The sequence below is a fragment of the Homo sapiens genome, chromosome 2, assembly GCF_000001405.40.
Source record: "Homo sapiens chromosome 2, GRCh38.p14 Primary Assembly".
NCBI lineage: Eukaryota > Metazoa > Chordata > Mammalia > Primates > Hominidae > Homo > Homo sapiens.
Window position 1 is genome coordinate 206,673,858 of NC_000002.12, and position 26,269 is coordinate 206,700,126.

General features: G+C 38.0%; 1 protein-coding gene and 1 pseudogene across 1 annotated transcript in view; both read right to left on the reverse strand.

The window, feature by feature from the left end:
• Positions 1 to 26,269, reverse strand: part of DYTN (dystrotelin) — a 66,776-nt gene that overhangs the window by 22,237 nt on the left and 18,270 nt on the right. Inside the window, exons 7-9 of the mRNA NM_001093730.1 lie at positions 25,870 to 26,033; positions 20,909 to 21,020; positions 19,318 to 19,466 (exon numbers count right to left, since the gene is read on the reverse strand). Of these exons, the coding sequence (NP_001087199.1) occupies positions 19,318 to 19,466; positions 20,909 to 21,020; positions 25,870 to 26,033 (425 nt within the window). The remainder of the gene's footprint in view (positions 1 to 19,317; positions 19,467 to 20,908; positions 21,021 to 25,869; positions 26,034 to 26,269) is intronic.
• VPS26CP1 (VPS26C pseudogene 1) lies at positions 12,660 to 13,506 on the reverse strand (annotated as a pseudogene).

Consider the following 26,269-nt stretch of genomic DNA (forward strand, 5'->3'; position numbering starts at 1 on the left):
TTAAAGAAAATTCATGTTGCTCAGCCATATGTAAATGAGAATAGGCTTTGTGTCTTCTTAAGGACATCACTATTGAGTCTTCTAATACATGCCACAAAGGAGCAATATAATTTATACTATAATTGAGTACACCAGCACACTACTGTTGCAATTAATTTATAGTTCTTACCTGGATAGACAATTTACAATAGACTTTTATCCTTACAAACATCCAAATTATCTGGTCTACTCTACTCTTCCAGAAAAATTATGCAATTGGGCATATTAAATAGACCAAAGGCTGACCAGTAGTTGTGTATTTTGAGGATATTATAGATTTTCTTAGCAGATATTTAGAAACAAAAATGATCTTTAGGAAAAAAAATGACTTGATTTCTGGGAGTAAAAGTTGAGCATATTTGAGTTGAATTCAAATAGAAATTTGAAGATTTGAAAAATAAATAAAATGATACACTTAAAATATTTTTCTTAACTAATTATTTTGAAAATCTTGATAAAGTAGATAATTCCTTCAAGAAAATTAAATCATCAAAGTTGACTGAAGAAAGCATGAAGAGACTATTAAGTTTGAACAAATAAAAAATTTATGAAACTATTATAAAGCCTCCAGTGCCCAGGGCTTTACTGTTGAATATTAGCAATTGTTAAAGAAATAAATAATTTCTATGTTAGATAAATTATTTCAAACACAAGAAAAGATGAAATATGACTCAGTTGTTTAATGTAGCCATAAAAACTCAAATGCTCAAAACTGATGCAGATAAGATGGAGTGGGGAGATATTCTGATTCATAAATGTTGCAATTCTAAATAGAAAACAAAATTTAAAGGACGTTTAAAGAATAATCTACAAACAAGTGTAGATTTTAGTTGCAGCAATGCCAGAAATGTTTACTATTACTCTATTAATGAAATACTTCCAATAAGAAAAAAATGTTTGAAAATTTCAGTTGGTGCTGAAAACAGATTTTAAATAAGTAAATCAAAACACCTCCCCCAAAAAAGTTTTAAAAACAAGGACCAGAAAAACACTTCCTCTACGTTAAAAACCATCTCGAGCCAACAACTAAAACTGTAATATCTAAAGGAAAAGCACTAGAGAAATGCCCCCACTAAATCTACTCTCATTAAAAATAGTTGCCCCATTATCTCTTGAATTATCTATCATTGCTCTGAAAGATGTGGAGTCTTTCAGGAATAAAGACCTGAAATAGAAACAAGAGGTTTAAATATTGGAGGGGAAAAAACATATATATATATGTGTGTGTGTGTGTGTGTGTGTGTGTGTGTATATATGTGTATATATATTTAAATATATATACACATATATTTAAATATATATGTATTTTTGTATTTAAGTGTATTTAAATATATATGTATATATGTAAATAAACATATATATGTGTATATATGTATGTATGTTATATTTAAATATATATTTATATTTTATATGTTGATCTTTAAATATATTTAAATATATATATTTTTTTCAGATTGTGTGATTGTCTACCTAGAAGCAAGATGTTCAAAATAAACCAATATTTGAGTTTCTAAAACAATTCATTCAGAAAAGTTTCTCTTTTCAGGGTAACTATTCAAAAAGCCATAGCTTTCCAAAATATCATCATCAATAATTAAGAAATAATACAGTGGGAAAAGCCCCTACTCACAATATTATCACAATATGACAGGAAATCAGCTATGTATAACCTTTTACTGAGAGACAGAAAAACACTTGAAAAAATAGAGAAACCTAAATATCACAAAGATAAAAGATGTTTCCACATCAACATATAGGTTTAATGCAAAGCTAACCAAAATACTAATAGGATTAATTTTGGCACCTTAGAAATGATTTCAAGATTCGTTGAGAAGAATAATTGTGTTATACAACCCCATCAAAAAGTGGGCAAGGGATATGAACAGACACTTCTCAAAAGAAGACATTTATGTGGCCAACAAACATGAAAAATAACTCATCATCACTGGTCGTTAGAGAAAAGCAAATTAAAACCACAATGAGATACCATCTCAAGCCAGTTAGAAAGATGATCATTAAAATGTCTGGAAACAACAGATGCTGGTGAGGTTGTGGAGAAATAGGAATGCTTTCACACTTGGTGGGAGTGTAAATTAGTTCAACCATTGTGAAAGTCAATGTGGCAATTCCTCAAGGATCAAGAACCAGAAATATCATTTGACCCAGCAATCCCATTACTGGGTATAAACCCAAAGGATTATAAATCATTCTACTATAAAGACACCTGCACACATAGGTTTAATGCAGCACTATTCACAATAGCAAAGACTTGGAAGCAACCCAAATGCCCATCAATGATAGACTGGATAAAGAAAATGTGGCACATATACACCATGGAATACTATGCAGTCATAAAAAAGAATGAGTTCATGTCCTTTGCAGGGACATGGATGAAGCTAGAAACCATCATCCACAGCAAACTAACACAGGAACAGAAAACCAAACACTGCATGTTCTCACTCATAAGTGGGAGCTGAACAATGAGAACACATGGACACAGGGAGGAGAACATCACATACCGGGGCCTGTCAGGGGGTCGGGGGCAAGGGGAGGGAGAGCATTAGGACAAATAGTTAACGCATGCGGGGCCTAAAACCTAGATGATGGCTTGATAGGTGCAGCAAACCACCATGGTACATGTATATCTGCACGTTCAACACATATATCCCAGAATTTAAAATTTTTAAAAAAGAATAATTGTGTTATAATAGCTAATACGTAAAAATATAAAAATGAAAAGGGGGAAAATGGTTAATGGGTATAAAGTTTCAGTTATGCAAGATAAGCAAGTTCTGGAGGTGTACTAAACAGCAGTGCCTATAGTTAACAGCACTGTGTATTGTATACTTAAAATTTGCTCAGAGATTAGATCTTGTAGTGTTCTTACCACACATACAAATTAACTATAATAATTATAAAGGGAGGAAACTTTAGGAGGTGATGGGTATGTTTATGGTTTCACAGGTGCACCTTTATCCCCAAACTCATCAAATGGTATACATTAAATATGTACAGCTTTCTTTTTCTTAAAAAAAACTGATTAAATGGTATTTATATATTTATTTATTAAGACAGGGACTCGCTCTGACACCCAGGCTGGAGTGCAGCGGTGTGATCTAGGCTTACTACAGCCTCTGCCTCCCAGGTTCAAACAATTCTCCTGCCTCAACCTCCCGAGTAGCTGGGATTACCGGAGTGTGCCACCACGCCTGGCTAACTTTTTGTATTTTTAGTAGAGATGGGGTTTCACCACATTGGCCAAACTGGTCTCGAACTTCTGAGCTCAAGTGATCTGCCTGCCTCAGCCTCCTGAAGTGCTGGGATTACAGGTGTGAGCCACTGCACCCAAGCATGTACAGCTTTTGCATGTCAATTGTATCTCAATAAATTGGTTAACAAAATGAAATAAAAAGGGAAAACTAGCTTTATGTTAATGGCTATCAGAAAGCTAGAATAATTCAAATAATGCTGTTCTTATGTAAAAATAAAATGAAAAGCAACTGAGCTGAATAGATAGCATTAAAACACATTCTAAAATGACAAATTTTTTGGTATATACTACAGGAACCATGATAAAAATTAAAAAGGAAAGGATTTATTCAAAAAAAGGAATAGGGGACTCTCTTAGCTTACCTCTGATTATGCATCAGAATAAAAACCAGATAGATTTAAAAGCTATGTGTCAAGATAATCAAATGATGTTAAAACAAAATACAGCTAGAGTCATTTGATTTCTCAATGAATAAATTTTTCCCAGCATAAAACTGTGAAAGAAATTACAAAGAAAAAGAAAGAGACTGATAATGTTTTTAGACTGAGCATGGTGGCTCACACCTGTAATCCCAGCACTTTGGGAGACTGAGGCGGGCAGATCACATAAGGTCAGGAGTTCAAGACCAGCCTGGCCAACACAGTGAAACCCCGTCTCTACTAAAAATACAAAAATTAGCTGGGCGTGATGCGGGCACCTGGAATCCCAGCTACTTGAGAGGCTGAGGCAGAATAATCGCTTGAACCCGGGAAGCGGAGGTTGCAGTGAGCCAAGATAGTGCCCCTGTGCTCCAGCCTGGGTGACAGAGCAAGACTCCATCTCAAAAAAAAAAAGACTAACGCTTTTATAAGAATTGAAAGTTTATATGTAGGAAGTCAAATTATCAATAAGACTAAAAGGAAATAACTAGGAAGAAAGATTTCCCTAGTCAAAATATAAAAAGTTTAAATACATTGGTAAATCAAACTGATTCATCAGTAAAAACGGCAGCAGGTGCTGATGAAGGAAAAAATACAGTTGCCTTGTACATTATGTGGGGAAAAGCTTCATTTCACTCTGAGTCAGAGAAATGCAAATTAAAGCAAATTAAATATATTCCAGTGATAAAATTATCAAAAATTAAAACAAGGCGATAGTCAATATTAGCAAGGATCTTGTGAGAAAGGTGCTACATTCACTAGAAGCCTAACTTGGTATTCCTTTCTAAAAGGCAATTTTGCAATAAGCATGAAGAGCCTTAAAAATGTTTGTACTTTTCATTCTTGTGATTCACTTTAGAAATGTATCCTAAGGAAATAATTGGAGATGTTTACAAAGAACAATGTATAAGAATTTTAATAGTGAAGTTTTAAATTATAGCAAAAATTAGAAATAATCCAAATATCAACAACGGTGGAGTTAAATCATATTATGCTTATTTAAATAAAAATTATATAACCATTAAGATGTTTTTTGAAGAATTACAATGACAATGGAAAATGCTCTTAATCTAACTATAGAGAACTATATAATGAATAAATTTTACAGTGTAGTCTAAGCTAATTTTAAAATGTTTATAGGAAAGGAAGTATACCAAAATATTGACAGTGGGGTAATAGCGGATTATTTGCCATTTTAATTTTGTTCTTTGTTCTCTTTTGACTTTTTGAAACTTTCTATAATAAATGTATAGCACTTTGTGATTTGAGATAAAAAGTTATTCAATAAAAGAAGGTTTTAGATTTTTCCTTGGTCATATGAACATCTTAAAAAGAATCCCCAAACTAGGGAATGCTTCACTGAACTTCACTGCAAAATGGTCCAGATTATTTGTGCTTTAGTAGCAGTTCCTTTCCGTTTTGGACTCACCTGGTAACATGAGTTGCTGTCCTCAGTTTGTTGACCCCGAGACATTCTTTCAGGTACAGGTATAGGCTTGGAGGCACCTGTGGCTGCTGTTTCCATTGGTCCAGTTGGCCTTACATCTGCTGTTCCTTTAGAACTCTTGTACTGAATGGAGACGCTATTACTGAGTTTTATAAGAAAGTTGTAGCAACTTTTAATTATCAGGTATGACATTGAGGAAAGCCTTTTTAGAAAATGTACATTAGATATTGAAGGTTTTACTCACCCACCCCCACAATAGCAATAAAGCAGGCCAACTTTTCTCTCTGTGTTCTTTTCCAGACAATTTTGTTGACAGAGTCAAGTAGCCAATAATAGAAATAAAAATTCAATTTTCCCTTCTCCTTGACAATCTAGACATGAGAATGCAAAGAATTCAGGGGTGACAGCAGAAAATCCCCCAGGTCATCTTGTCCAGGTCAGACATTAGGAGTTATAAATGCAGGTATGTGTTTATCACGTCAAATCTGAAAGAACATATAATATATCAGACTAGTTTAAGGTCAGGTATATTCTGTTATACAATTCCATTTGGTTTCATTCCTTTATTTAAAAACTATTTTTAAACATCATCTCAAGTTATGGCAGATATAAAACAAAAAAGCAGAGAACTCCTGATTCCAGATAATTCACATCTAAAGAACAGATAAATATAGAATCATTTTACACATAACATTATGCTTTCTACAAGACACAATGAGAACATAAGGAAAGACACGATTATTCTGTGATATACTTAATTATACCAGGGGTGTGCATTTTGGGGTAGAAGAATAGGGTGACCCACAGTTTCTTTGTAACAAACCTTCTGAATGACAAACTCGATTCCTACCCCATCTGAGATCATTTTCATATCTTGGTATTGTTCTGCTCTGTCTTCATTTGCTCAGGATGCTATAACAAACAGACTGGGTGGTGTAAGCAACTGGCATTTATTTTCTCACAGTTCTAGAGGCTGAAAGTCTGAGATCAGAGTGCCAGCGTGGTCGGTCATACACTGTGTTAGTCAATTTTCATACTGCTGTGAAGAAATACCCGAGATGGGGTAATTTATAAAGAAAAAGAAGTTTAATGGACTCACAGTTCCACATGGCTGGGGAGGCCTCATAATCATGGCAGAAAGCAACAGAGGAACAAAAGCACGTCTTACATGGCAGCAGGCAAGAGAGTGTGTGCAGGGAAACTGCCCTTTATAAAACCATCAGATCTTATGAGACTTACTCACTATTATGAGAAGAGCATGGGAAAAACCTGCCCCCATGATTCAATTACCTCCCACCAGGTCCCTCCCACAACACATGGGGATTATGGGAGCTACAATTCAGGATGGGATTTGGGTGGGGAGACAACCATATCATATACACATCATTTTCTGTACTCAGATATTTACAAACATCAATATGTATTTTAAATGTTTTTTTAAAAAACAAGGAAATCATTCCAGACACATTATTCTGCTACTTGCTTTTTTCTCTGATGCATGATGGTGAATTCCTTCCAGTATAGTAGATAGCAGCTAAAACTTGTTCTTTTAAGTAGATTCATTATGTTCTGCAGAATGTTCGTAATCCTACATATTCCACCACTTTTCTACGAAGGGGCACTTAGGTTGTTTCTGGCTTATTGTCCTGTACTCCAAGGGCCAAATCTTGTGTATATTTTAATGACTAATAAATACCCTATTCTAAAGTGAATCCTTCTACATGTATCCCACCCCCTCTTTGCTGAATGACATTGCTCCAATAATTCTCCCCTGTTGCACCAGTTCATCAGTTTTTCTATGAATTCATTCCCTCAAACAAATGGGTATACAGGCTCTTTTTTGGTTCCATATGAAATTTAAAATAGTTTTTTCTAATTATGTGAAGAATGTCAATGGTAGTTTGATGGAAATAGCTTTGAATCTATACTTTGGACAGTATGGCTATTTTCACGATATTGGTTCTTCTATTCATGAGGATGGAATATTCTACCATTTGTGTCCTCTCTTATTTCCTTGAGCAGTGGTTTGTAGTTCTCCTTGAAGAGGTCCTTCACATCCCTTGTTAGCTGTATTCCTAGGTATTTTATTCTCTTTGTAGTAATTGTGAATGGAAGTTCATTCATGATTTGGCTCTCTGCTTGTCTATTGTTGTTGTATAGGAATACTTGTGATTTTTGCACATTGATTTTGCATCATGAGACTTTGCTGAGGTTGCTTATCAGCTTAAGGAGATTTTGGGCTGAGACAATGGGGCTTTCTAAATAAAGAATCATGTCATCTGCAGACAGAGACAATTTGACTTCCTGTCTTCCTATTTGAATATCCTTTATTTCTTTCTCTTGCCTGATTGAGCTGGCCAGAACTTCTAATACTATGTTGAATAGGAGTGATAAGAGAGGGCATCCTTGTCTTGTGCCAGTTTTCAAAGGGAATGCTTCCAGCTTTTGCCCATTCAGTATGATATTGTCTGTGGGTTTGTCATAAATAGCTCTTATTATTTTGAGATACGTTCCATCAATACCTAGTTTATCGAGAGTTTTTTTAACATGAAGGGATGTTGAATTTTATTGAAGGCCTTTTCTGCATCTGTTGAGATGATCATGTGGTTTTTGTCAGTGGCTCTGTTTATGTGATGGATTATGTTTATTGCTTTGTGTATGTTGAACCAGCCTTGCATCCCAGGGATGAAACCAACTTGATTGTGGTGGATAAGATTTTCGATGTGCTGCTGGATTCAATTTGCCAGTATTTTATTGAGGATTTTTGCATCAATGTTCATCAGGGATACTGGCCTGAAGTTTTCTTTTTTTGTTATGTCTCTGCCAGGTTTTGGTATCAGGATGATGCTGGCCTCATAAAATAAGTTAAGGAGGAGTCCCTGCTTTTCAATAGTTTGGAATAGTTTCAGAAGGAATGGTACCAGCTCCTCTTTGTACCTCTGGTAGAATTCGGCTGTGAATCTGTCTGGTCCTGGACTTTTTTTGGTTGGTAGGCCATTACTTACTGCCTCAATTTCAGAACTTGTTATTGGTCTATTTAGGGTTTCGACTTCTTCCTGGTTTAGTCTTGGGAAGGGTGTGTGTGTCTAGGAATTTTTCCATTTTTTTCTAGATTTTCTAGTTTATTTGCCTAGAGGTGTTTACAGTATTCTCTGATGGTAGATTGTATTTCTGTAGGGTCAATAGTGTATTCCCTTTCTCATCTTTTGTTGTGTCTTTTGATTCTTCTTTCTTTTCTTCTGTATTAGTCTAGCCAGTGGTCTATCTATTTTGTTAATTTTTTTCAAATTAATCCAGCTCCTGGATTCATTGACTTTTCAAGGGTAAAAGGTCAATTGTTATTTGACCTAGCAGCAGCATTTGACAGTAGAACACCATGCTGTGTCCTTGAACACTTTCTTCACCTGTCTTCCAGGATTCCTCACTTTCTTGGTTTTCTTCCCTCTCCATTCTTTCCTCTTTCTCAGTCTCCCTTTCTGGTTTTTCTTCTTTTCTGCAGCTTTGTAAATGGAGTGTCACAGGGCTCAGTCTTTGATCCTCTTCTCTTTCCCCTCTACACTCTCTCTTTGATGATCTCATATAACCTCATGGCTTTAACAACCATTAACATGCCAACAACCCCCAAATTTGTATCTCCAGTACAGACCCTTTTTTCCAAGTTCCAGCTATGAATAGTCAACTGCTTGGTCAATATCTCCCTGTGGACATCTCAGAGACTTCTCAATTTTAATGTGTCCCAAACTAGACTCCTGATTTCCTCCACAAACCTTCTCTACCTGTAGCCTCCCCATCTCGGTTGATGGCAATCTTATTCTTCTACTTACTATAGAACCACCATGACAGTATAATTTAGTGCAAATGCAGGAATAGACACATAGATCTAAGGATGAGAATATAAGTTCTATTAGCCCAAGTATACAAGGAAAGCTAATATGTGAGAAAGCTGGCATTTTAATTAAGTGGGAAAAAGATCACATAATTGGCTAAAAGATCACATAATCCCCTACACCAGGAAAAAAAGTAAAGCTAGACCCTTGCTAAAATAAATTCCAAACAGATTGAAATTTTAAGTTAAAATTTGTAATAGAAATATTGGAAAAAATTTAGGAAAATGTTTATATAACCTTGCTTCTAACTCTTGGCTCTCTTTAGTCTATTCTCAACATAGCAACCAGACTGAGAGTTTTGAAACCTCAGTTAAATTCTCTACTAACAATCCTCCAATGTTTCCCCAGAGTAAAAGCCCAGGTCCTTACATTGGCCTTCCATCTGCCCCCACTTCCTCACCTCTTCTTTTTACTTTTTCTTTTTTTTTTTTTTTTTTTTTTGAGATGGAGTCTCACTCTGTCACCCAGGCTGGAGTGCAGTGGCTCTCTCTTGGCTCACTGCAACCTCTGCCTCCCGGGTTCAAGTGATTCTCCTGCCTCAGCCTCCCAAGTAGCTGGGATTACTGGTACATGCCACCATGCCTGGCTAATTTTTGTATTGTTAGTAGAGACAGGGTTTTACCATGTTGGCCATGCTGGTATCCAACTCCTGGCCCCATGTGATTTGCCCACCTTGGCCTCCTGAAGTTCTGGGATTACAGGCATGAGCCACCGCGCCCTGCCTTATTTCTTCTCTTATTACTCTCCTTCCTCATCCCACTCAATCATGCTAGCCCCCTTGCTGTTCTTTGAATCCATTAAAATTAATGGCAAAAACCGCAATTACTTTTGCACCAACCTAATACCAAGCATGCCCCCACTTGGTGCTGGCTGTCTCCTCAGTTTGCAGTGTCCTTTTCTCAGATGTCTGCATGACTTACTCCCTCACTTCCTTCAAAACTTTGATCAAATGTCACCTCTCACTGAGGTCCGCTATAACCACCATACTTAAATTTGCTGCCATCTCTCCAAGTCTTTATTTTTCTTACCTGCCTCTCCTTTTTTTAAACTTTAATACTTAAATATTTTAACATATGATATAATTCCTTTATATACCATTTCCATTTGTCTGGTCCTCACTAGGATGCAAGCTCACCGAGAGCAGAAATCCTTGTCTCTTTTTCTTCATTGATGTAGCCCAAGTTCCTAGAACAACATTCAATAAACTTATTGAATAAATATTTTTCAGTGTATTTTCTGAAAATTCTGTAGCCATTTGTACTTCTACCAGATTTCAAGAGCATCTATGTTCTTCCCTCCTCACCAGCAAAGGATGTTGCCATTCATTTTAATCTTTGTCTTTTCAATAAGTAAAATGATGATATGTCATTGTTACATTTTTCTTTTTTCTTTTTTTCTCTTTGAGACAGGGTCTTGCTCTGTCACCCAGGCTGGAGTGCAGTGGCACTATCATGGCTCACTGCAGCATTGACCCCCTGGACTCCAGCGATCCTCCTACCTCAGCCTCCCAAGTAGCTGAGGCCACAGGTGCACACCACCACACCCAGCTAATTTTAAAATTATTTGTAGAGATGGGGTCTCCCTATGTTGCCCATGCTGGTATCAAATTCCTGGCCTCAAGTGATCCTCCTTCACTTTGAGAGGCAGAACCTTCAGCCTCCCAAAGTTCTGGGATCACAGGCATAAGCCTGGCCTATTTGCCTTTTTTCTAACCAATAGAGAGGTTGAGCATCTTTTTGGGTGTCTAAGGGCCATTTGCAACTCTTCTTCTGTGATTGCCTATTTACATATTTTGTGTATTTTCCTCTTCACCCACCTCTTCTTCCCCATTTTCTTCTTCTTCTTGAGTTTTTTTTCTTAGAAAGTATAGCCTCTTTATTTTCTGCTACTCATCATCAAATACAGGTAGTTATTAATGTCATATGAGCATAAAAGATTTATAAACCAGAAATGTATTTTCTAAGAAGCAACTTACAAATGACTCAGATAATAAGTTTTATCAGTTTAATTGGTGAAGTCCTAAGATAAAGCAGTGCCTAAATCAGGTTTGTTTACCCTCAGCATTGAAGGCATGTAATGTAGGGAGCATTACAGATCACCAAACACTGTTACAGGACAATGGAAGTACAGCCTGGGAGGCCTTCAGCCTGAGCCTGCCTTGCCCAGGCCTGCACAGAAGGGCAACTATGAAAGAAGGGCAATTAGTGTGCAAAGTAGCATGGCTTATTTATTTATTTATTTATTTATTTATTTATTTATTATTTTGAAACATTTTCACCCAGGCTGGAGTGAGTGCAGCAGCGCAATCACTGCTCACTGTAGCCTCGACCTACCAGGCTCAAGCGATCCTCCCATCTCAGCCACCTGAATAGCGGGAACCACAGGCGTGCACCACCACGCCCAGATAATTTTTAATTTTTTCTGTAGAGACGGAATCTCTCTATGTTGCCCAGGCTGGTCTCGAACTCCTGGGGTCAAGCGATCCTCCCATTTCTGCCTCCCAAAGTGCTGGGATTATGGGCATGAGCCACTTTACCTGGTCACATAGCTTATTTTTGAGAACCTGTTAATTGTGGACCAAGAAAACAATGATAGGGTTTGAAGGAAGAAATGTTTTGCAACAGACTCATCATTGACTTTGAACCACAAAGGGAGACTGAGGAAACACTGGCTTCAGGTCAAAAAACCCTGGATAAAACAGGTCCCTCAGGTGGGTGAGGGGCAGGCCAAGTTCATCAAGTCAAGGACATTTTCCTGGCACCACCCTGGGGAGAGGAGCCTTCACCCACCCACCCTGGGCACGGGGCTCCTGCCATTCAGAACCCTCCCTATAACAAAAGGAGCAAACATTCATTTTTTCCCCTTACATAACTTTGCATTTAAATATATTCCCGGAATATGGCAGCATGAGTTCTTATGACAGTTCTTGAGAGTTCAGAAACACTCCAGCACCAGCCAAATCCCCTTACTCCTATAAGAGCAAGGGACGCTTTTTTCTCAGTTCCCTAAAAATGTTGAAGTTATATTGAAAAATGTTATAAAAAGAACTACAGAAATAGAGTGCGGAAAAAAAAAAAAAAAGCTACACATTTCCAGTGGATGCCACTTTGCATTCTTCCTTGGAGGGTATCTACAAACTTCATAAGCAATGCCACCTGGCCACAGACCCTTTGCTGTGGGGAGTGCTCAGCTACTTTCATTATTAGCGAGTCAGAGAGAAGTTTCCTTTTGCCCCCATGATCTTACTTTCCAGCACAGCTCCAATGGCTGTCACAACAGGTTTTCTGTGCCTTTTTTGGTACAAGAACAGGTAAGTCACAGGAAACGTTTTCTGTGAAATGATCTTGCAAACAGCATTAAGAAATTCTGTTGAATTTCAAAGAAAAGATATGATTAAAGGTGACTTTTGGAAGTAGAAGCCTCGAAGAAATGAGGAGGAAAAATAATTGTAATTTAAGGAGTCCATTTCATTTCTGATACAGAATAATCACAAAAACAAGTATATACTGCTGGCTTTAGTTCCCCATGAACGATAACCAGCAGGATATCCACAAGGCCACCCCTGTTTTCTGTGCTTCCCTCCTCCTGGGCTGAGTCCTGCAGAGCTGCAATAGGAAGTTCTCTGTGACCAGGTGGTTAGCATGAAGACGCATGTCGATGGTGGCCTCAAATTCCACTTTGAAGTTGGTCTTCAGCATGCGGCAGGTAAACAGCCTGGAGAAGACCATGTATATAGGGACAGAGAGGCCCCTACAAATGTCCCCATGGGCATCTGAATATAAGGAAACTCTGTGGCATCATTGGCATAGCTTTTTGCACACCCACAGGTCTCCATGTGCACCAGTTGCAGCCCCATGCCTTTTCACCACCAGCTCTCCTGTAAGCAGCTGCACGATGACACAATTCATTGAGTTGGGGTGTTCTCGAATGAGAAATCTGGGGAGCAAGGCTCTCTCTTTGATATTCTGTAAGGTTGCAGGTATAATCTGTGAAGTCCACAGGACTTGGAGTCAACTTCCCCTCCTGAGGAGCAGAGTGGATGGTAAATTCACCGGCCTTTGTCAAGTCCTTGGTCAACAGAGACTGCCTCATGTCACAGCGTAGTGTATACTGAATGTCTGATAATAAGTCTCATACAGAACTTTGTTACCCCTCACATACAGAAGAAATGCGAAATAAATTTGTTTTGCCATAGGGAAATTTCCCTGGCTTCATCCTTTCTATGGCACTGTTGATAATCTGGATAGGTTTAATGGAATTATAAAAAGCTTCAAAACTGCCCACACTTTTGGCACTGAGCTGGGGGATTGCAATTCCTTCCATTGTCAAAGACACTACTTGATGTGGGACTGAATCCTTACAAGATACGACCACCACACTGGAGAGCATTTCTCCAGCATGAGAAACTATTTGCTCTTCCATCTTGATGTCCAGGGAGGTCCCTGTTTTGAATTCTCCACAGCAGCCAACACTTCTGACCTCACATCAAGTTTTTCTTATCAATTTTTCAGGGACCCTTTTAATAGCATCATTTATCTTATTACCGAAAATATTTTTCTAAGTCTAGGGCTTATTTTTAATTTTGTTTATACTATCATTTACCATAACAAAATGTTTAAAATTACATGCTATCATATATATCTGTCTATTCCTTCATGATTTTTTGTTTTTCTTTCTTCCTTAGGAGATGTTCTTTTTTCTAATATTTATTTTAAATTCTTTTTACATTTAAATTTCAATCAATTTGGAATTTGTTTTAGTATATGGGGCAAAATAAGGGCCAATTTTCCTTTCAGATGGATAGCCAATTATGCATTATTTTTCCATGAATTGAAATATCACCTTTATCATATATTAGGTTCCCATATATGCTTAGATCAATTATTATATTTTGTATTCTCATCCTTAGACCTACATGTTCATTCCCGTTTTATACTATATTATTTGGTCATAGTAGTTTTATAGTAAGTGTTAATATCTGTTGTATTAACATCTGTTCTTCAGATATTAATGTCTCTCACTATTCTTCAGTCTCATAATTTTACTATTCTTGTACAACTATTCTTCCAACATACCTTCAAAATTATTTTATCCTATTTAGAAAACCTTGTGATTCTATCTGGAAATGCATTAAATTTAAATACAGTAGATTATGCTCTATAAGGCTACCATGAACAGTGAATTAGGAAATACTGAACCCATTGTTCCTAGAGAAAATACAGGGTTAGGTTCCTGCAAGCCTCTGGCCACAATATTTTTGTCAACCAATCAATGCACAACCTTGTTTTATGTGTTTCTGTATAAAGATGCTTTTTAAATATATATTGTTGATTCATTAGCATTAAACTCATGGTCAACAGCAATATAAATCATACCTGAATGAAGCTTATTTAACGTGTGTATTTTTTCATTAAGGCACATCGTAGCCTTGCTGTGCTTGGGAACACTAGACAGCAATTCAGTACCGTGCTTTGGGGCCATTTGCCAAAGTAAAATCACCAACAAAAAGCACAAATATAAAAAAACAAGACACAAAATAGACACGAAAAGGACACTTGCTTATAGAATGAGGGCTGAAACAGTAACACAGAGCACTATCTGGTTTGACCTCAGCTGGGAACACGTGCATCAGGCAACTCAAAATTTTTTTGCCACTCTGCTTATGTCTGCAAATACTGAAAAAGCACCAGGAGTGTTAATTTTAGGGTTACAAATAAATTTTTGCAAGTAGGCAAATTTGTAAGTATTGAATCTGCAAATAACAAAAATCAGCTATTAATTTTTGGAGCAGGTACATTCTTATGCTAGTCTTCTCATTTAGAAATTTGGCATTTTTTCCTTTTGTTCAGGACTTGTTTTCTGTACTCAATAAAATATTATAATTTTATTTGGGTCTTGTATCTTTTTTGTTAAACTTTTTTGTAGTTTCTTTTAAAAATAATTTTTACATGTATTTTGAATGAGATTCTTACAAAATTTATAGCTGGTTATTGCTAGTAGAGTGAAGAATTTTGTATATGTTTATTTTATTTTTCCACCATCATTTGAAGCCTATTAATTCTAGTAATTTTTGCTAGTTACTTGGGGTTTCTTAGTAATTCACAATTAAATTAGCTACAAAGAGAAGTAATTCTGTCTGTTATTTTTCTGCAGTTTAATTTTCTTTTTAACTATGTTTTCAAGAACTTCCTGAAATATTTAATAAGAGTGATGATATTTGGCACCTAACTTTCAGTTCTGGTTTTGTAAATGAAAGTATTCTCAGTGCAAACTATCATGTGTAAAGGAAATAAAACCACATCAAAAGGGAGAAGGCTTATTACCATGCAGATAGTTTGCTGAATCATTGAACGAATTCAATATTATCACTTGGCCATAACCATTAATCTCTTAGAAGATGGTCAGTGCTAGTGTGCCAACATAATAGATATCAAAGATGTGTTTTTTACTATTATTACATTGTGATTTAGTAATATTCCACATTCTTTTCTCCTAGATGAGCCACAAATCAGAATTTCTGAACTCATCAAAGTCTAGGGTACACTGAAAATTATTACATAAGAATGTTATTTTGGGGAACAACTCTACTGTACTTGGGGTGGACAGAGTACAACTCATTGACGTTTAGAGAACCCTGGCTTTGTACAGCCCTTGTAATTCCCTTTCCTCATCTCACCTCCAGAAATACTACTCTGGGAGTAGAGAGGAGAGGTTATCCCAATTAACAGGTAAAGAAACTGAGTCCTAGAAAAGTGAAGTGACTTCCTCATGGCCACACACGTGGTTAGTTGAGGGCAAAGCTTCTGTCTCTGTTCCAGATTCAGTCAAACCTCATTATCTTGTTCCAAAGCTCCTTGATTCTTTCCAGCTACATTCTAAAAGAGCTCATGGTTCACCTTATCTATCCATCCATCAATCCCTCCATCATGCGCTATACATTTTATTATTCATTCATTCATTCAGTCAGTCAGTCATTCAACAAATATTTATTGAGGATTTATCATATTCAGACATTATTATAGATTCTGGCAATACAACTGGAAACAATGGACATTCCTCCCCTCATAGAGCTTACATTATAGAGAGGGGCACAGCAATAAATAATAAATAAGTAAGATATAGGATGTCAGAGGGTGATTAAGTGCTCTGAAGAAAAATAGAGCCAGCAAGGATAACTGGGAGTGCCAGAGTGAGGAAAGTGGTTGAATGGTAAATGGTTGTCAGGAAAGGCCTTCAGGATGAGCCTACATTTGAGCAAAGACCTCGGCAGGTCTTTGGGAAGTGAGCAGTCAAGCCACGCAGGGAGGTGATCTAGGGTTGCCAGTCCCCCGAGGTGGCAGCATGCCTGGTGTATTCATGGAGCAGCAAGGAGAGCTGTGAGGCTGAAGCAGAACAAGTCAGGGAGAGGTGCAGTGGAGGACCAAGAGCTGGTGGGGAACAGGGTTTATAGGGCCAGGCTAAAGGCCACTGGAAGGACTGTGACTTTCTTGGAAGAGGGAAGGCCACAAAAAAGTTTGTGCAGAGGAGTGACATGATCTGGCCAAAATCTGAAAAGGGCCTGTGGCACCAGGAGTGGACCATGGGGAGACCGAGGAGGAAGCAGGGGAACCAGTTAGGAGGTCATGTGACAATGTGGGAGAAAGGGACCGCTGAGGTGGTGGCAGTAGAAATAATGAGACTCACTCGGAGTTCAAATCTATTTTGAAGGTACAACCAACAAGATTTGCTGATGGATTGAATTGTTTGTATGACTTTATGAGCCAGGTGTTGGAGTTGCAAGAGGGAGTGAAATCAGATTCCTTGATGGAGCTTTTAGCCAAATGAGAAGGCAGACATTAATCAGATAGTTAGATAAATAAATGTGTAGTTACAAACTATGACAAATCCTTTAAAATAAAGTCTTAAGGGTGGGATAGATCTGGCTTAGTCATATGTGAGGCAGAATCAGGGCTGGAACACAGAGACTGTGGAGGAGGAATGAAGCTGGAGAGATTAAGATGGTGGACCAAAAGGACCAAGACTAAGTCACGTTACAACTTTTCATTTTTAGCCTAAAAACGATGGGAAAACGATGGAGGAATTTGATTTAAGGAAGGCATAAGGATTTGGAAGGGATGAGTGGGTGAGAAGTGCTGTCACATTTGTGTCAAAAATGTGTAAAAGATCAGTCTGACTTCAGTAGCCAAAAGAAATGCAAATAAGAGTATGGAGGCCGGGCACGGTGGCTCACACCTGTAATCCCAGCACTTTGGGAGGCCAAGATGGGCGGATCACTTGAGGTCAGGAGATCAAGACCAGCCTGGCCAATATGGTGAAACCCCGTCTCTACTAAAAATACAAAAATTAGTCAGTTGTGGTGGCAGGTGCCTGTAATCCCAGCTGCTCAGGAGGCTGAGGCGGGAGAATTGCTTGAACCTAGAAGGCAGAGGTCGCAGCGAGCCGAGATGGTGCCACTACACTCCAACCTGAGCATCACAGCAAGACTCCATCTTAAAAAAAAAATATATATATGGATCTTTGTGATGTGACTATGGGAATATAGAAATTTGGGCAAGATCTCAAGTATCCAATATATATATAGATGATTAACATTTTATCATTACTTTCCTAGTGAAAGGTAAAAATAGCTGGCTTTAAGAATAAAGATAAACTGGAAACTGATATCTTTGTTTTTATTTTTAAATTTAAATTCTATGTGCAATATTAAAGATATACATCAAGATGATATCCAAATTATCTAACTTTAATCATATATTGATTAACAACCTGATAGGTAAATGTGACATAGGAATAATAGATAGCATCTAATTGTGAGGTCATTGTGTACTTTATCCTTTAAAGAGCCATAAAAACATATTTTAAAATACAACAAACTTTAAAGCAACAAAATGACCACAGAAATAGGGGTCTGGGATTGAGATGGAGATTTGCTGCTGGATGTCTGAGAAAAGATTAGAGAATTATAAAAGAAATTAACAAATGAATACCAATCTGATTTAAACTAATCTATTCTTATAGTCCTAGTAGGCAAAATGGAAGTGAATAAATATTTCTTTTTCTCAAAAGTGATGAGGCTGGGCATGGTGGCTCGTGCCTGTAATCTCAACACTTTGGGAGGCCGAGGTGGGAAAGTCACTTGAGGCCAGGAGTTTAAGAACCCCTGTGAGTAACATAGTGAGACCCCCATCTCTATAAAACACAAATATAAAAATTCAGCGAGCATGGTGGTATGTGCCTGGGAGGCTGAGGTGGGAGAATCGCTTAAGTCCCAAAATCCAAGGTTGCAGTCAGCTATGATTGTGCCACTGCACTCCAACCTGGGCGACAGAGTGAGATCTTGTCTCTAAAAAAAAAAAAAAAAAGTGTTTCTCTCCTTTATCTTCTGCTATTTTAAATTACAAAGAAGTGGCTACTTCAAAAATGAAGGTCACAAAAACCTTTTAAAGGTCATCTTTAGGTTGGTGATCAGGTATGTGATGCATATACTGGAAGTGGCAGGCTGTGCCCCTCTGGAGCACAATTTGGCATTCTGAATTTCGAGGATTAACCAAGTTCGCAATTTTTTATTCAATGATTTTCATTGAATGAGTTTTCCCTTAATAAAAACATAAAAATATTTAGATAAATGCATGCATAGAGATGTTGACTCTAGAATTTTGGGGGGCAACATTTGGAAATAGCCAAATGTTCAATAATGTATTGCTTGTGAATTGTGGCATTTTCTTATAAGGAAGAGAGTAAGGCCATTAAAAATGATGTTTTGGGAACTAAGAATGAAAAATTGTATCTATAGCATAATCCCTGTTTTGGTTAATCTCTGTTTCACACTAAAATGTGAACAGCACTCATCTGTGAGTGGTGGTATGCTGAGTGTCTTTCTTTTCCTTTTTTTTTTTTAAATAAAGTATTAATTCTGAATTAGCCTTCCAAAAGCAAACCAGCAAAAACTAGGAATATAACAAAGTTATTCAAATATTCTAATATTAAAAATCTTCTTTGTCTTTCTGATGGTTTCATTTGTAGAAATAACTCTAAACATCTGGATGGGTCACCAAAAGGTGTTGTGGCCTCTTAGTTCTACTTTGAAATTAAAGGCCCTTTTTAGAGGAAAAAAATATCTGAAGTCCAACCCTCACCCCTCCTCCTGCCTTGTCTAGGATCTTCAGCATTAGAAAGATTGCTGGCCGGTTACCATAACACCCAGGGCCCTTGGTGGCTGCTCTGTGGGATCAGCCAATCCTCGCAGCCACTCACCTGGCCTGCGCATGGTGAGGCACACCCTTTGGATTCACCTGGTCCAGCAGCTGCTGCCTTCTCGCTGCTTCTTTCTTCCTACAGCGCCCCTGAAGAAGGTTGTTTCTGAGGGTCCTGAAGAGAAGTTTTGTATTCTGCATTGCTGACATCTGCTGAAAGGGCCAACATTTTTAAAAAGCGTCAGATCAGTCTACGTGTGGTCTTCCTTCCTTACTTGGATGGACTGGCCACCATGAAAGTTTTTGGAATTATTTCTCTTAAGTCCTCAGAAAAATAATCTTACCTCCTTCTTGTCCCTGAATTTCTTCACATTCTCATAGAAATAGCATAAGTCTCCAAATTAAACACCCCAAACCCCCTCAATAAGTCCTCTTCCTTAGAGTAACCCCGTCATTTGGCATTCTACACCTAGAGGAGGGCATCAAAGAGGACTAAGCCTGTGGTTGCTCACATTTAGGGTTGTGGATGCCTTTGAGAATTGGATGATAACTCATGGATTTATTTCCAGCGAAATACTCACACATTCCATTCTGCATACAATTTCAGTGGACTCACAGGCTCACCCGAAATCCATTTATTTCACCCCAAGTTAAGAACTTCTACCAAATGCAAAGAAGGAATGAGATGTCTCATTTCAAGGGTTTCAGCACTTGAAATTTAAAGCGTAATAACAAAGTGGCCACATGGTGTCACTCTAACATCAACAAATCCAAGACTTTTAGCACTAGGAAGGTAGATCCTAGGCCTGTGAACCTGAGGACCTGGGTAAGGCAATGCCCACTGGAAATTATTTGGCAAGATTCAGGCACTTGACTTTTGCAGGCCATTCATGTAAAGGAGAGAAGGAGGGAAAACTATCCTTGGCAAAGTTAATTAGTCAACATCCTTCGCTATTGTGGTATTTGAGGAGGTTGCCATCTGTGTGAAGAAACTTACTCACTGGAATTTAGTAATGAAAAGAAAATGTTCTTTCTGGGAAAAAATAGAATGCTTTTTTCTAAAATGTACTATGCTGTTTCTCTTCTTACAAAGAACTGAATTCACTTGCTAGGTATTTATAATTTTAAAAAATTTGAAAGGCAGCTGTGAAGTTTTAGTTGTATACTTTTTCAGTCAACATTGAGATAATAATCTTTCTTTTTTCCTAAAGAAGAAATATTTGAAATTTAGGGTTCAGGAAAAGACATGTTAAAAAAGAAAAATTCTCCAAAAATATGTTAGTAACTAGAAGTCTTGCTGCATCATTTTTGCCATATCAGAGCCCTTCTCTTTTCCATCTGTACCCATTTCCAGTGCTGCTCCCTGTAACTCTTCACTGACATTTTCTATTCCAGAGTATCTGATCAATCACTTCAGACTGAACTCTGGCCTGTTCTTGTGGCCAAAAACTTCCACTGAGACATACAATGTGAAGAAATCATACTTACGTTGGGAGATATTCAAGGTGGAGTTTGCCACTTGCTTAGTCTTAAATATTGCAATGTATGACAGGAGCAGAATCTGTGGTTTCACTGGAGGGAAGGTTTTTTCATGGCTATAGCTTATACTGAATTGATTAATGAATAGTTTGGTATGTGACATTAAATGTTACCTGAATGCAGTGCTCAATGACAGGATGAGACTTCTGATGGGACTTGCTGTGAAGACCAGATAAGAAACACATCTGGCAGATGTCAAAGTTGAGACACTTCAGACAGCGGTATCTGCCAGTTAAAATAGAAGCACAGCTTACGTCACTAGTAGATGAGAAAAAAAAAAAAAAAAGAATATCCAGGTAGAGAATGAGCAACCCAAAATATACAGAAGATGTCTGAGCTGCCAAATCAGTGTAAAGTTTCTCCCAAACTATAGGATTATTAAATGACTCTAATGCGTTTGTTTACTCAAATACATCTTCATATGATAGTATTTTCAAATGGCATTATATTAATGCCATATACGCTATGGTATAGAAGTCTGATTTATTTCCCAAAATACGAAGTGCCTTCTATATGCAGGGTGCTGTGTGCTACAACCTTTAGGATAAACCCTTAAATCTGCAGCTGCGTTTTGTGCAGCTGCACAATGCACTCAAATTCTTTGAATTTAATAGCTAATTTAAAAATAGATTTCAATAAAATCAAATTTTGGCTTGTCTTAAACTTTTGCAGGGTATGATAATATTGGGCCTGTATTCCTGAGTGGTGTTGGGGAAAATTAAGCCATAAATAACAAATTTAAAAATAAGCACTCGTCATTTTATAGAAGTCTGTATGTAGGAAAGATATAAAGTAGAGGAGGGGAATTCCTCACCACAGCCAAGTTTCTTGACCCATCAACATTGGAGAATTTTTCTTTTTGAGAAATGACAGCCTTAAATCCCTTTGTGGTCAGAAGGAGCGGAGAGAGTCTTGAGACACTCTGGTTAGGAGGGGTGTCCCATAATACTCAGGAAACTATTGTGATGTTAGTGGGGAGCTAGTAAGACCTAGCAGTCATCAGTTAGTAACTTTTAAGGATATTTGAGTGGGACCATGTTGTTTGTCTATAAAATAACAGGGAGCTATACATTTTTCCCCTGATATGTAAATTCTCTTCTCTAACTGCAGTGTGTGTGGTATAAAACTCTGTCCTCATATGGTGACAGTTGGTGAGAACCAGGCAGCAGCTACTCCTTTTAGACTGGACATACAGTTCTGAGCTAGCTATAGTCCCTACCTGTCCTATTTCCTTCACGTATACCACTTGCCTTGCCTTTTAAGCATTTGGGTTTTCAACACCTCTCTTAAGGTTACAAAAAAGAAATATGATAAGATTCCAGTGCTCTTAAATTTCATATCTTGCGGCAAAACTTTGACATGGAAGGTTGAAGTAATAACTTCCAGAATTAGGTGATGTGTGATTAAGTGCCAAGTGAAAGGCATGGAGAAGAGGGGTATAGCAGGGAGGCAGAGGGAGAGCCCTATGGGCTGGTGTGGTCTGGAAAGTGAGGCTCATGCTATACATGGAAGGCTGGGCTGGAGATTAAAGCAAAGAAAATCCCAAGTAGAAAGAAGAGAAGGAATAAGGTAACGAAGATTGGGATGAGTAAGAAGGGTTTAGAGGACATAAAATCTATCAGACCTGCTAACTGCCCTGAATAACAGCGGGAAAACACCTTGGAAAGCTTCTGAGGCCAGATGGCAGAAGGTCTGATGGTCTGATCAAAGTCGTTTAGAGGAGGAGCAGGAGAATGTAAATACCTTGAGATCGCCCCTCAGCTACCCTTGTTTACTGCTGTACTTCCAACCCTGACTCCCATGGCAGGATATTAATAAATAATGTGGGATGATATAATAGCAGCTAGCATTTTTGTGCATGTTCTATGTGCAGGCAGTGTACATGTGTTGACCCAGTTAATCCCCATGGAAATTCTTTCAGGTATTCATACGATTACCCTCATTTTGCAGATGAGGAAACTGAATTAAAGAGAGTTTAAGTAACTTGCACAAAGTTACACAACTACTTAGTAAGTAGTAGAAGATTTTGAGTCCCAGGTTACTATCTGAACTGATGGCCTGCCATTTTAACCACTAGAATAGACCACACTATCCTAGAATAGACCACCACTCCTCAAGGCAGGAGGCTTGAGTTTGAATTCACATACCACCATTACTACTTATAGTAGTACTAATAGTTGAATTGAAAACTTAAGCTCACTTAAGTTTAGGAGAATGCCTGGTACATGGTAGGTTTTTCAATGAACATTAGTTGAATGAAGTTGGATAAATGACTTAGTTTCTTCAACTAAGGAAAAATGGAGCTAGTAAACCCTATCCTCCTGGCCTTGCAAAATTTTTAGAAAACTTTAAAAGTTGTTCAACATACATAAATGGGAAGACATTTACTTTTTCAATGAAGTGTACAACATAATAAACTATTTTTATAAGGATTATTTGATGAGTCATCCATGCTGGCTGCTTTATCAAGCATTAACTGGATGGCTGTGATTAACTTATTTAGGATAATATGCTGCTCTATCCTTAAATTTGTTCCTCTGTGCTCTGAAACTACCTACAGGTATATGAGAATGGTTATTGTGTGGGTAATGAGATTGGCCTGTTGTTGATGTTTTTTACCAGTATAGAACCCAGGTTTTCTCCCAATTTCATTTCAACCTTCCATGGCTATCACAGAGCAAAAATGCTGACATGTCCTTCTAGAATTTTTTTCTTGGATTAAGGCCACTCTATGGTCTTTGCACCTTCTCTTTCTTTAGAAGGCCAAATCTTTGTCCTCTTCCTGCTACCTGCAGATCTGCAAATGCATGCCCTCTAACATGGCTTTCTTCATCTCCCAAAAAACCAAAGCTACTGGTTGAGTTTTTTGAGATCCCAAAACATAAGTTTAAAGTTAGGATTATAATATATCCAGGCAATTTTTAATAGAATCCTAAGTTTAGAGCTAAAGAAGTCTCAGACATCATTTGATCTACCCTGCTGAATTTTACTAAAAACAAAACAAACCAAAAAACAAAAACCCCAAACTGAGGTCTAGAGAGGTTAAACACCTTGCCCAGGTCTCCTAGCTCTTTGTATATAGGACACCTGTTTATTGCCTTGGATGCATAAGGGGAAAGATGGTTTACATGGGGGCATTTTAAAGAAATTCTGTTCTCATTCTCAACAGATATTTGAAGGGTAGCATTTCTCGGCCTCTGCCTTTGCCATTTTTAGGGGCGACTTAAGTAAGTCACTCAAACTCTTTGAGACTCAATTTTTGTCATCTATAGAATAGAAATAGTATCTGCTTTATGTTATACATAATAATTTTGAAAACATATTTCAATGTAAAAGTTGTGTTTTATATAATTACAAAGTTAATCCTGTACTCGACCTAGGGCAGGACTTGCAGTAACTCCTTAACTAATACTTGCTTATTGGTTAAATGATTATAATGTACTCATAACATGGCAAATCATATTCAGATTTCCCCATTGTCCAATATAAATAATTTATTTTTCTTTGTTGTATGAGGATTTCTTTGTTCCTGCTTGCTTGGTTTCCAACAGTCCTGTTCATTTATATGTTTTATTGTTTAAAGTTCAGTTCCTTGCCGAATTTTCATGAATGAAGTTTCACTGTGTCCTGCAAATTCTCTGCAAACCCAATTCATTTTCTCAGCAAAATTAAAACCGGATCTCCAGTTTTTCGGTGTACCAAGCAGACCTATTTTACCTCCATGGGGAGCAATTTCAGTTCTGGGTTAGCTAGGGTCAGGAAGCATGGGAAGGGAAGGGGAACAAAGTGAGCAGGAGCTGAGTCCTGAGGCCTCTTGTCCCCTTCTCCTTCCGGGAACCCTCAGTTTTGCCTTGTATTTAGCTACCTGATGTCCCAGAGCTTTAGTCTTCCCACATCCCCAGCCCCTGTTCACTCATCGTGAATAATGGCTTCTTCCATGCCTGGCCTACACCTGGTGGTTTCTTTCTCTTCTCCCAAGCTTTAATGATAACTCCAATTTTACTTCCCTATGGTTTTATTTATGGGAGACCTATAACACTCTTTCTCTAAGATGGGATTTTGACTGTTAGCCTCAAAGCTATGGAAATATTTGAATCTCCCACCTCCAAATCTAGCTCTCAAATCTGCTTTTTGCTCCAGGTGGAGAGAAGATCAAGCCTGAGTTGTTCTCATGAATGCTGATGATCTCTGTGAGTCTGTGCCTTGTTTGCAGTTGTCTGCACAGGGAGGCAGCGGAGCATCATGGCTGCAAAGCAGGGACTCCGGATTTAGGATGCCAGCCTCTGCGGCTTGCTAATCATGTAGGTTATTTAACTTCTCTGTAAATAGGGGATAAGAATACAACCCTTTGTATAGGCTTACAACACATTTTAAATGAAATGACCCATGTGAACTGCTCAGCTTGGCATTTGTCTAACACTTAACAAAAGTAGTGTTGTTAGGATGATGATGATGATGCATGGCTCCAAAATTTAAAAGGTTTCTTTGGAGCAAAAGACAGGCCAAATGCAGTGGCTCACACATGTAACTCAATGCTTTGGGAGGCTGAGGCAGGAGGTTCACTTAAGATCAGGAGTTGGAGACCAGTGTGGGCAACACAATAAGATCCCATCTCTACAAAAAATAGAAAATTAGCTGGGCATGGTGGCATGTGCCTGTACCCCCAGCTACCCAGGAGGCTGAGCTGCAAGGATGACTTCAGCTTAGGGGTTTGAAGCTGCAGTGAGCTATGATAGTGCCAGTGCACTCCAGCCTGGGTGACAGAGACCCTGTCTCTAAAAACAAAATAAAGCAAAACAAAACAAAGACAAAATGTATTCCCCTTAGAGGAAGAAAAATGTCTATTAGTCACATTATGCGTCAGTGGAAGAATTTAATATTTCATCCATTATAGAAGATAAAAGACAATTTATTATCAACCAGGATGCCTCTTGCCAGGAAATCATTGAGCCAAAAAAGTCAACTGAATTTCAGATGTGTAAGGAGGACCCCAAAAAGAATCTGAAGGGATGCAGCTCCAACTGTAGAACCATATGGAGAATGATAATCCAAGAAATGCTGCTGATGACTGTACCTGAGTCCCGTGATTGGGAAAGTCCTGCAGAGAGTGCACCGAGCAGGGTGAGTGACCCTTTCAGCAGCTGATAACCGGTGGCAGGTCGGGAGCCACAGGAGGATGGGAGGCTCAGATTGGACCCAAGACAGGAATTTTTCTTCTTTGATTGCTGGGCTCAACACCTGAAAAACAATGGCACTCTAAGATGTGTTTTTAGGCACGACTTGATATTTTCATTTTCTTTTCTGACTCTAATTCTGTCAGTTCTGCTGAAGAAGTTTATCATAGGAAAAGCTGGAGGTGAGACTACCTCCTAAATTCAGTTATCTGAGATGCTATGTGGAGTAATAATAGGTCTGTAATGTAAATCAGTCAGCAAACTATCCCAATACACCGTGTCTGTCCCCAACTCCAGGGA